Raw genomic sequence first — 12,300 nt, 5'->3', positions numbered from 1 at the left:
TTATAGGCATGAGCCACTGCACTAGGCCCAGTCTTGTGCTTTCTGTAACTTTGAATCTAATAGAAGACATTGCCAAACATTATTATATTCATTTTATTTATTTAGTTAGTTTTTAGAGGCAGAGTCTCGCTATGTTGCCCAGGCTGGTCTTGAATGCCTGGCTTCAAGTGATGCTCCCACCTTGGCCTTCCAAAATGCTGGGATTATAGGTGTGAGCCACCGCACCCGGCCAATATTCACTTTAAAATAAGACATCCTCTGCAGGTTTGTGAACCTGGAATGAATTGTTTTAGCTCATTAATCTTAATTCTTAGAATTAGATAAATTACTTAAATATCTTACTGAGAATTTAGAATTTGTTCTTGACAAATATAAATCCTGGTGCTTGATCCTTCAGGAAGTTTCAGATTTCCTAAGTTCCCGGTAATGTTGGGAGTAGGTCAAAATGTATGTGGACTGGGAGTGATAAATGAAAAGAGAAGACCATTGATGAGATGACCACATGTCCCAGTTTTGTTTTGTTTTCACTGGCTAATTATTAATAGTACCCTCTTTTATTCTCATAACTATCCTGGTTTGGATGATAGAGTATATGTTCATGGTATCTGTTGGATTGATGTAAGCCAACCAAAAAATGTTTTAAGCTAAAATTTTTAGTGAGGCACTAAAGATATTACCTTTTTTTTTTTTTGCAAATAAATACATCATGAAACAAATTTCAGTTAAAAATATTTTTACTATAAATTTGTAAGACTGTAAGACTGATGTGTAGGTAACATTTTGTGGAAGCTATTGTTCCTTGATAGTGTCAGGAGTATATCTTTCTTTGGGTAATCATCAATTATCAGCTTATTGGCCCTAGTAATTTCTTTATTGACTTACTAGATTATATTTTTCCCTTCATAGTTATTTAGTAATATGAATTATTGTTACAAGTCATTGTCTTGTACGAGTAACATGAATTCATGAAGATGATGCTTGGTTGCTTTTGGGAAATTTCTCTTAGCCTATCCAGTCCATTTTTTGTTTGAGATGGCATCTTGCTCTGTTGCCCAGACTGAGTGCAGTGGCACGATCTTGGCTCACTGCAACCTCTGCTTCCTGGGTTCTAGTGATTCTCCTGTCTCAGCCTCCTGAGTAGCTGGGATTACAGGCGCGTGCCACCACGCCTGGCTAATTTTTTTTGTATTTTTAGTAGAGATGGGGTTTCACCATGTTGGCCAGGTAGGTCTCAAACTCCTGACCTCAAGTGATCTGTCCACCTTGGCCTCCCACAGTGCTGGGATTATAGGCGTGAGCTACCGTGCCCGGCCTATCCAGTCCATTTTTATAAGCAAGATTATGACGGCAAACTTGGAAAGAGGATTTCCCTCACCTGCTCCCTCACTCACCTACCCTCACCCTTGGCAGAAAAAAAATGATTCAAGTGTGATCCCAGATCAAGGATGGGGAATAGGAGTAAGAATGCTAGCTACCTCTAATAATAATGATGATGATGATGACAATAATAATGATAACAATTTAAGTTCTGCTTTTAGAGTACCTTCCATGTTCTAGGCATTGTGTTAAGCATTTAATCTTTGTTTTAATCCTTACATCAACTCCTGTAAAGGTGGTAGGAGTACAGATCAGAAAAATGAGGTTCAGCGAAGCTGTGATTTTTCAAGGCCATGCAAGCCAGTAAGGCAGAATTTGAACCTGGGTCCCTTTGGCTCCACAGCCTATGATCTTTTTATTACATCATATTGTCATTCTAAATGTTGACAGTTACAAGGGAAATTAGTGCTGCACTTTCCGGGTTAAGATAGCAACTTCCTCCCCACCCCCCCACCCCCCCCCACCCCCTCACCACCTCCCCCCCGCCGCCCCCAGCCCCGCCCCGAGAATGGAGTTTCAGTCTTGTTGCCCAGGCTGGAGTGCAGTGGTGCAATCTCGGCTTGCTGCAACCTCCACCTCGTGGGTTCAAGTGATTCTCCTGCCTCAGCCTCCTGAGTAGCTGGGATTACAGGCATGTGCCAGCACGCCTAGCTAATTTTTGTATTTTTAATAGAGATAGGGTTTCGCCCTGTTGGCCAGGCTGGTCTCAAACTCCTAACCTCAGGTGATCCGCCTGCCTTGGCCTCCCAAAGTGCTGGGATTACAGGCTTGAGCTACCACGCCCGGCTGATAGCAACTTTAACAGACTAATAGTATGAAGGTGAGGGGGCATGAGAGCTATAGAAAGGGGGAGTCTGCTGTAAGTTGATATGCTGATGGGGCCTCTGGGCTGGGGTAGGTAATTGGTGATGCTGGGCACTAGAGCTGGAAATAGCTGAGGGCTTTTTATTGAAATCATAGGGGAAATTAAAGAGAATTTATTCGAGGTAAAGGAGTCAGGGATAATAAATGAGTTTATTAGAATGGTGTTATGAGTTAGAGCAAAAAGAATAAAGAAACCAGGGAAGGTACAGTTGGGATAATAGAGTCCTGTACTGATTGTTGAGATAGCTCAGCTAAGAAATTTACTGAGACTCTTTTAAGCGTTTCCTAACATTGTCAGAACCCAAGAGAATGGTTAGACATTTAAGTAATTTATCCAATTCTAAGAATTAAGATTAATGAGCTAAAATAATTCATTCCAGGTTCACAAACCCTCAGAGAGTAAGTGTCTTAATCAGGTTAAGTGGCTGAGAGGAGAGACTTGACTTGAAGAGGATGAATCTGCCATCCAGTGCCCCTGTTCTTAGGGACCTTGAGAGGTAGATCTTAGGGACTTTAGGGCCCTGGAGCATAGATACATGTTGGGTAAAAGAATGGGCCCAGTTTAGCCCCAATCCCTTAAAATCAGTATCTTTAAAGTTCTAGACTGAGGAGGGACCAGAAAACCAGATAGCAGGGCAACAATTGGGAGTCCCTGAAAAGGATTGGTGAGATACACATGGGTTAAAAGTCTTAATGAGAAATTGAGATTGTATTGTAATTTACATTGCATAAATTATACCCTAAAATTTCCTTAATACACATGAGCTAACTGTGTGCTTAGCTACAGTGGCCAGGATATGTAGAAATGGCAACTGTCCAAGAAGGGAAAGTCAAGGGCCAGGAAAATGTGGATATGTTTGATGAAAAATCCCTTTCTCTTTTGATTCTTAGTGTTGGCAGTAGAACATGTAGATGACAATTTTTATTACTTCACTAAAACCAGTGCTTCTCTTTATAGCATATTCTAAATTATGAGTTGACTGTAAAATTAGGTTAATAGTATATAATCAGTTAAAGCAGTAATCCTGAGATCAGCCTTGTTTGTAATCCTGCCAATGCTGGTTGAAATTTTTGGTGCTTGGCATTTGGCACTAATTGTTTTTTTTCTTCCACACTTCAGATCAGAAAATTTTTTGACAAATTTTCTGAATAATTTACTGAAACTCTCAGTTTTTAAATATTTCAGTAGGAAGATAAAAATTTTGAATAATTTCTATTTACTGACTAGAATTATAATTCAAGATAAGATGTTAATTTTTTTTTTTTTTGAGACAGAGTCTTACTCTGTCACCCAGGCTGGAGTGCAGTGGCGTGATCTCGGCTCACTGCAACTTCTGCCTCCCAGGTTCAAGTGATTCTCCTGCCTCAGCCTCCCTAGTAGCTGTACTTACAGATGTGTGCCACTGAGCCCAGCTGATTTTTGTATTTTTAGTAGAGACGGGGTTTCATCATGTTGCCCAGGATGGTCTTGAACCCCTGACCTCAGGTGATCCACCCGCTTCGGCCTCCCAAAGTGCTAGGATTACAGGTGTGAGCCACTGTACCCGGCCAAAAATATTTAATACTGTCTTTTCATAAGGTTGGTGGCCAGGTAGCTTGGTTAGAACATGGTAATTTGACCAGGGTGGCGAAAGTCATGGGTTTGATCTTCATGAGTATTAGGATCTTTTTTTTTTTTTTTTTTTGAGACAGAGTCTCGCTCTGTTGCCCAGGCTGGAGTGCAGTGGCACGATCTCGGCTCACTGCAAGCTCCGCCTCCCGGGTTCAAGCGATTCTCCTGCCTCAGTCTCCTGAGTAGCTGCAATTACAGGCGTGTGCCACCACCCCAGGCTAATTTTTGCATTTTTAGTAGAGACAGGGTTTCACCATGTTGGTCAGGCTGGTCTTGAACTCCTGACCTCATGATCCGCCCGCCTTGGCCTCCCAAAGTGCTGGGATTGCAGGCGTGAGCCACTGCGCCCAGCCTGAGTATTAGGCTCTTTAGAGTTAGAAGAAATCTTTGTTATAACCCTGTTCAACTTTCCACCTAAAATAATCTTTTTTTTTTTTTTTTAGCATCTCTGACAAGTGGTCATTTAAACTTTGTTTGAATGTTTCATTTTTTGCGAACAATAGTTTTTGAAGCTTTGTTGCTTCCAGTGCCATAGCAGGTAGCTCCAGTGTAGTTGATGTACTGTTTTATGGATCTGTCATAGGTCACAGGGTCAATCTCCAGTTTTAGGAGAAATTAAAGCATTCATATAACATCTCATGTTACCATAGTTTTGAATTTTTCCAAATTCAGATTGAGGCATTTTAAAATTAGTTAGTTTCAAATAAAATAAGTATCTTACTTTAGTGCTGGGGAGTCTAGACAAATCAATCAAACTTTTTTCTTCTTCATCATTATAGACATTGAGACAAATTGTTTAGAAGAAAAAAGCAAGAGAGACTATTTTACACAGTTGGTATTAGCATGTTTGGTAAGTTTTTAAAAATATTTTTCCCTTTTAAAAATCTGCATTAAACAGTTGTAATAGAAGTTAATCATGTTAATGAAGGAGGATATTGACATTCAGTTGACTTTTCTCATAAGGTGAGATTTGGGTTTTGAAATGGAATGTTTTGTGAAATAAGACATGCTGTTTCTGTGAAATAAGCATGTAACCATATCCATATCACTTAAACTATCTATACATTTAAAACCTTTGGTGATATTCCTGACCTAGTAAGTTCCTAAGAAAAAGGTAAGCATTTATAAAGTAAGTAGAAATGATTGTAGACAGCTTTTAAATGGATTTTTTTCCTCATAAACTGTTAAGCAAAGAGTAAAAGAATAGAGGTAGTTTAAAAATGATAAATTCTAGAACTTGCCATGATTGTTGTCTGGTAAACCATTTGTGTTCATAAATTTAGAACCAGGGAGAACTGCCGTGGTTGAGACCTGGAAGAAGGTGCTTGTCTTTGCTATACTAGAATTTAACTTAAAGTAGGAGGCTATTAAGTGCTGTATTAGGTGAAAGTCCAGATAAGCCAAATGCAGTCATATTGAAAATTTCATCTGTAGTTCTTGTCATTTATAGGCAGTATACAACATGCATATAATTTTATAGTGAATTTTTTGAAAGCCGTTTATTAAATATTTCAATATTTGGAGTCAATATTTGTTAAATTGAACTTCTAAGCCTTTTTATAAATTGTAGGTTGTTATGTAGAGAATGTTATTTTTGTATTCTTATTTAGGAAGCTTTAGTTTGAATATATTTAACATTGTGGATGCAATGCTAAGGAATAAATGACCTTTAATATTTTTTAATACAGTATTTAGTTTCAGACACAGTTCTAAAGGAACGCCTGGATCCAGAAACACTGGAATCATTAGGGCTTATCAAACAATCACAGCAATTCAATCAAAAGTCAGTTAAAATCAAGACAAAACTCTTGTAAGTACACGTATCTTATGTTGCAGATCAAGTATCTGAGTATGTTTTTTCGTTCATATTTTGAATCCTAGTAGCTTCTAAGGGGACTTTGAAGATTGTTTTTTTTGTTTGTGGTTAGCATGTCTTGTGTTTTTTGCCTTCTAAAAGTAGCCTAATATTGAGTCATCAGTGATCTTTACCTGTGCAAAACCATTGTTACTTTTGCCCATATTCAAAGTTAAAATAATACTCATGCTTTCATCATTAGCAATAAAATAATTTATGACTGTGGCTATACTCAGGGTATATTCTTAGAGATGGAAATGGTGATATGTTATTGTTCCCTGATATTAACAATATCCTTTTCTTGTGTTACTGGTTTTCCCTATGTAATTAATATTGGGGTTCTCATATGAATCACTGTTATTTTCTACTCTAAAAGGTACACAAAGAGGTAAACTTTCAACAACTATTCTTAGGATTGTTGTAGGTTGGAGATAAGAAAATTCAGTGAGAATACAGTACTCTGTGCAAGCTTGTTAATTAAAATTAATTTTATCCCCTTAATGATATTTATCTGATTTCAGTTATAAGCAGCAAAAATTCAATTTGTTAAGAGAAGAGAATGAAGGTTATGCCAAGCTGATTGCTGAATTGGGGCAAGATTTATCTGGAAGTATTACTAGTGATTTAATCTTAGAAAATATCAAATCTTTAATAGGTAAGACATTTATCTGTATAGTATGTGTTGTTAAGATAACAAGTTATTTTAGCTATTGGAGAATATCCATAAAGACAAAATGAGTGCATTCCATCTATTTTTTTTTTCAGTTAAGGAATGGGAGAGGTGTTTAGCTTTTACTTTTAATGGTTTATCAATAATTATAAAATTTAGCATGATATTTGTGAGAAATCTTATTGTCACTATACCTTGTATGTTAATATTAGGTCCTGCTCTGTCTAGTCTTTCTTTTTTGTGGAGGGGATCCTGAGTGGTAAGCCAACACTTTCAAAAGAGAATGGATGACAAAGAACAGGATGGACTGTTCTGATAGAGTGCCCTACGTTTCTCTAGTATTTCTATTTTTAAGTATTTCTCAACCATTTTATGGAGGACCAAAAAGCAAACATGAAAACTTTAATACAGTAAATCTTCAGTGAACTTTTGAAACTACAGATGTGTAATTTTGAACTTGATTTTCAAAATAACTTTACAAGGGACTTTGATACTTATTTTATCTTTATAGTAGCCTTTTAAAGTAAGTGCAACAGCTGTTGTAAAAGTGTAACAGATAGGAAAGTTATTATTCTCCCTACCCTTTAAGTAGAATTCCTGTAGCATTACTGTTTTCTTTTTATTTGCATTGAGCATTTGGAAGAAGTAGTTGACTTCTGTAAAAAAGATGAATGAGCACTAGAAAAATAGGGTAATCCAGATTTTCCTGAGGTGGAAAGAGTTTTTTTATTATTTACTAGGTGTTGTGCTATCTTAGGGAAGATTTTGCAGTACCTGGGTCTTGAGACCTGCCAGAGGAGTCATATTTTGTGCCTCACTAGTTGTATCTTAGGGGTGCTTATCCTCAGCTTCTTGGTTCTTTCTCTTTTTTTGGAGTTTATATATGACTAAGAAAGAGGGAGAAGGTGTCCCAATCCTTATCTCCTTCCTCTAGTGCTTTGTGTAGGAATCCAATTAAAACTATATTTACTATAATCACCTTTGTTCTTACCAACAAGTAAGTAGCTTTTAGTTTATTTTTTAAATTTTTGTTTATTTATTTTTTAAGAGACGGGGTCTCGCTATGCCCAGGCTGGTCTTGAACTCATGGGCTCAAGCGATCTTTCTGCCTTGGCCTCCCAAAGTACTGGGATTACAGGCATGAGCCACTGTGCCCAACTAAATAGCCTTTTGTTTAAATTTACTCTTTTCTTTGAAGTTAATCTAGTTCTGGCAGCTGATCTAGTGTCTTTGTTGTTTCTTCCAGTTGTCAATTTAACACCAAGATGGGTGGCCCCCTAGGGCTGTGGGACTCTTGCTTAACTGTGTGGCAGTGACCCATTTTTAAAAACCTTCCCATGGTGGTTCCTTAGTTCCTTTCTGTTCTTTCTTTCTCTTTTTTTTTTCTTTTTTTTTTTTTAGATGGAGTCTCACTCCGTCACCCAGGCTGGAGTGCAGTGGCGCAATCCCAGCTCACTGCAACCTCTGCCTCCCGGGTTCAAGCAGTTCTCCTGCCTCAGCCTCCTGAGTAGCTGGGACTCCAGCCAACACACCCAGCTAATTTTTGTATTTTTAGTAGAGATGGAGTTTTGCCATGTTGGCCAGGTTGGTCTCAAACTCATGACCTCAGGTGATCCGCCCGCCTTGGCCTCCCAAAGTGCTGGGATTGCAGGCTTGAGCCACTGTGCCCAGCCCCTTTCTGTTCTTTCTAGGGTAGGCGCCACACTTTCCTGAGTGTTTTTTGATCTAGCTTGAGAAGGTTTTCAGTACTGCTTTGCTATAAGTTTGTCTTTCCTTGTATCCTGTCATACTTACTTAAGGTAGTATTCCCCACATAAAAATTCTGTGCTATTTTTTTTTTTTAACTTTATATCCTTTTTTGTTGACATCTGTTTCTTCTATTTCTTGTGAGTTTATACCTTTTTATTCCTTTGTTATTTTGGGAACATTTCAAAGAGGGATTTTTCTTGAAGGTGTGCTTTTATCTTACTAGAAAATGTATACTACTTACTTTTCTTGAACTTTACTCTCAGGGAGAACAGGCTATGATCCTGTTTCTGAAGAACAGTGTAACAGGCACAACTGCAAGCTCATGAGGTATATGGACAGTCTATGAGTATAAACAATTTGATTTATTGGGCTAAACCTATATTTTAACCCACCAAGTAGCAGTCAAATGTCACCTTCTTAGTGAAGCCTTCCCTGCCCACCCCTGTCAAAACTCCCTGCTATTCCCTGATTATTTTTCTTTTTTTGCACATATCACCATATAATATGCTCTGTACCTCCTCCCCCTCCACCTGTGATGTAGGCTCTGTGAGGACTGGGGTTTTGTTTGGTACCTTATCCTTAATACTTGGTATGTAGGTGATAAATAAATACTGGGTAAAAAAGGAATGAATATTTCCTCTATTCTTGTATAATCTATACTGACTCTTAGCATTTTTTTCCTGATATGGAGAATTTTAGAAAGTTCATCTTCCTGTCTCAGTGTTTATTTATCTCTGACTAGGTGATTTCCTCCTCCCCCAATTGTCTGAGAAATGAACTTTTATTTTTTTGAGACAGAGTCTTGCTTTGTTGCCCAGGCTAGAGTGCAGTGGTACAATCTTGGCTATCCGCAACCTCTGCCTCCCAGGTTCAAACGATTCTCGTGCCTCAGCCTCCCGAGTAGCTGGGATTACAGGCGTGCACCACCATGCCCAGCTATTTTTTTGTGTGTGTGTTTTTAGTAGAGTTGGGGTTTCACCAAGTTGGCTGGGCTGGTCTCGAACTCCTGGCCTCAAGTGATCCACCTGCCTCAGCCTCCCAAAGTGTTGGGATTACAGGCGTGAGCCCCCGGACACGGCCTGAATGAAACTTTTCATTGATGTGAAAATAGAGGTTGAAACTTCAATTCCAATGAGTATTCTTTCAGTGTTGTTAGCATTTATTGGAGTCCCTCTTAGTGCAGACTTCATCCAGGCCTTGTCTCATTCTGTCCAGAACACCTCACTGACCAGCATCCTATTTTTCATGGCCTCTTTGGATGGGTTTCTCTGTGTTTATTCCCATTGTTTTCTGTTTAGGAACAGTCTAGACAGGTAATACCTCCTTCATCAGCCAGTGTCAGAAACTGATACCTAGTTTGGGCAGTATACATTTTAGGTGCACATACTTTCAGGGTACTTGGTCTGACCAGGATAAATCCTTACTTATCATCCTTTAGTTAAAAGGCAGTTATTTGGCTGGATGCGGTGGCTGAAGCTTGTAATCCCAGCACTCTGGGTGGCCGAGGTGGGCAGATCACCTGAGGTCTGGAATTTGAGACCAGCCTGGCCAACATGGTAAAACCCTGTCTCTACTAAAAACACAAAAATTAGTTGGGCATGGTGGCACATGCCTGTAATCCCAGCTACTCTGAAGGCTTGGGCAGGAGAATCACTTGAACCTAGGAGGTGGAGGTTGCAGTGAGCTGAGATCGTGCCACTGCACTCCAGCCTGGGTGACAGAGTGAGACACTGTCTCAAAAAAAAAAAAAAAAAAAAAAAAAGGCAGTTATTTGCTCCTAAAAGATTCTGGCACATCAAAATTTTTATATTCTGCTGGATAACTTGGGGCTGTTTACTGCATGCGCAAGCAAGGAAGCAGAACCATTATGCATCTGCATGGTGATTGTGATCTGACACTAAATTTGAACAACTTATTAAATACGAATGAATAGTGAACAGTAGACTATTGAGCTGCCAAGTCATAGACACCATACAAGTGGCCATAGCTTGAAGATGGCAAAAAAACATCTTTTAGAAATTAGAGGAAAGGATATCACAGGTGGACTCCTTTGTTTGCTGAACTAAACGGTAAGAACTCTACTCTTTTGGATGCCCTTCAAAAAAAATCAGAGCATCATGCTGTACACTTTAAATATATATAATAAAAACAAGTGGTTGCTAAGTGTTCTTTCCTTTCCTTTCTTCTAAATCAGTGGTCAGCAAGTGTTTCTATAAAGGGTGAGATAGTAAATATTTTTCGGCTTTGTGGACCATATGGTTTCTGTTGTAACTACTTAATTCTGCCATTGTAGTGTAAAAACAGCGTAAAAACAGCTATAGATAGTACATAAATAAATGTGACTGTGTGCCAATAAAATGTTATTTACAAAAACAGACCGCTAAATGGATTTAACCCACAAGCCATAGTTTGCTGATTCTTGCTCTAAATCAAAAGTTCTGCCTAACAACTAATCACGGAGCTAGCTTATTTGAGCGTAGCTTTAGAGAGTGAAAATGGTTCTTCCTGGTTTTGGATTTTAGTGGTCCAGGACCTTTTTGGCCTAGGCTCTAACCCCTTTACCTTTGCTCGCAGAACCAGAGCTTTCTTCACCAAACCTCAAGACCTTCATTTGTTGCCTGGTGTCAAAGGGTATAGATTTGGCTAGGGAAGGGTAGAGTGAGAGTCTTTGCCTCTTCAGTCTCTCAAGTGACCAGAGTAACATTAAAAACAAAATAAATCCTTAAGCCAAACGATTTTTATTTTTGGATAGATTATGGGACATTTCACCCCTTTGACTACATGATTTTGAGTGTATTTAGTATTTTATCTTTGGTTCAATCTGAATATAGGGTCCATTCAACTTAGACACATCTTATTGTGCCACCTTTTTCCTATTTCTTTGAAAGGGAAGTTGGCTGCCTTATTTACTTAAATTTTTACATTATTGAAGTTTCTTGGCTATATGTTAGAAGTTTTCCCTTCATAGTATGAAAAAGAAGACAGCAATTAGTGTTTCCAACTATAGGGGTTTTTTGTTGTTGTTATTTATTTTATTTTTGTTTTGAGACAGGGTCTGGCTCTGTTGCCCAAGCTGGATTGCAGTGGTACAGTCTTGGCTCACTGCAACATCTGCCTTTTGGACTCAAGCCATCCTCCCACCTCAGCCTCCCAAATAGCTGGTACTACAGGCACACACCACCATGCCCGTCTAATTTTTGTATTTTTTGTAGAGATGGGGTTTTGCCATGTTGCCCTGGCAGGTCTCGAACTCCTGAGCTCAAGCTATCTACCTGCCTTGGCCTCCTAAATTGCTGGGATTACAGGCGTGAGCCACCATGCCTGGCCTTGTTACTGTTTTTTAGATCATACTTTTATTTTGTTATTCATTGGTTCTTGCTTTGAGATGTGCAGTTTTTTTGCAAATAGTGTTTCTTAGAAATAGTCTAGCATAGATTTTTATTAGCTTCTAAAGAAACTCTTTCTACATTGTAGATCATTTCATTTTGTTAAAAACATGATTTTCTTTGTCTCCTAAGGTCCATTCTCTCAGGAACTTGATGATTGAGGCTATAATTCCGTTTTCTTGCCTGAAATTTATAGGCTGGACATCTCTCCTAGTTATGTCTGCAATATTATCTTGGTCTTTTATTTTCCTGTTAAGATCTCAATTTGGCCTAATTTCTACAACAGTCATTGTCAGTTTGATCATATTTCTTGCCCCTAGTTGGTGTCACTGTAACATAACTGGTTATTTTTTCTATCTTTGGGGAAACTCCAGTTGCTTTTTCCTGCATTTCTTCAAAGATGTATCATTCAAAAGGTGTGAACTCTTCTCAAGGGTAGCGTAAACATTTTATTAATCGCTATAGTTTTTCAGCTTTATTCAGGCTTCATTGACATATAGTAGAATGCTTATATTTAAAGTGTACAATTTGACTTTTAATATATGTATACATCTGTGAAAATACCACAAACAAGATAATGCACATTCCTCCCACTACCCCTGAAATTTTCTCTTGCCTCTTTGTGTTTATCCTCCCTCTCTTCTCTCTTCTGTTTTCCCGGAGAATCACAAGCACCTGGCACATAGTGGGTAGTTATTTAATACTTATTTAAATGAAGGAGGGCATCTATGGCCATTGTAGATCTGCAGTTTCTTTATTTTTCCACTTATTCTCTTTAAATATGGTT

At 38.5% G+C, this 12,300-nt stretch overlaps 1 protein-coding gene across 17 annotated transcripts in view; it reads left to right on the top strand.

Annotated features, from left to right (window-relative positions):
* Positions 1-12,300, top strand: part of THOC2 (THO complex subunit 2) — a 132,484-nt gene that overhangs the window by 30,669 nt on the left and 89,515 nt on the right. For all 17 annotated transcript variants that reach the window (XR_007068195.1, NM_001081550.2, NM_001441236.1 and 14 more), the window contains exons 5-7: positions 4,633-4,703; positions 5,542-5,663; positions 6,230-6,363. Coding sequence is in view for 16 of the 17 variants with exons in the window: in NM_001081550.2 (NP_001075019.1) it covers positions 4,633-4,703; positions 5,542-5,663; positions 6,230-6,363 (327 nt within the window). In the remaining variant the exon portion in view is untranslated. The remainder of the gene's footprint in view (positions 1-4,632; positions 4,704-5,541; positions 5,664-6,229; positions 6,364-12,300) is intronic.

This window comes from Homo sapiens, chromosome X (genome assembly GCF_000001405.40).
Source record: "Homo sapiens chromosome X, GRCh38.p14 Primary Assembly".
Taxonomy (NCBI): Eukaryota; Metazoa; Chordata; class Mammalia; order Primates; family Hominidae; genus Homo; species Homo sapiens.
This window is presented reverse-complemented; position numbering and strand designations above follow the sequence as displayed.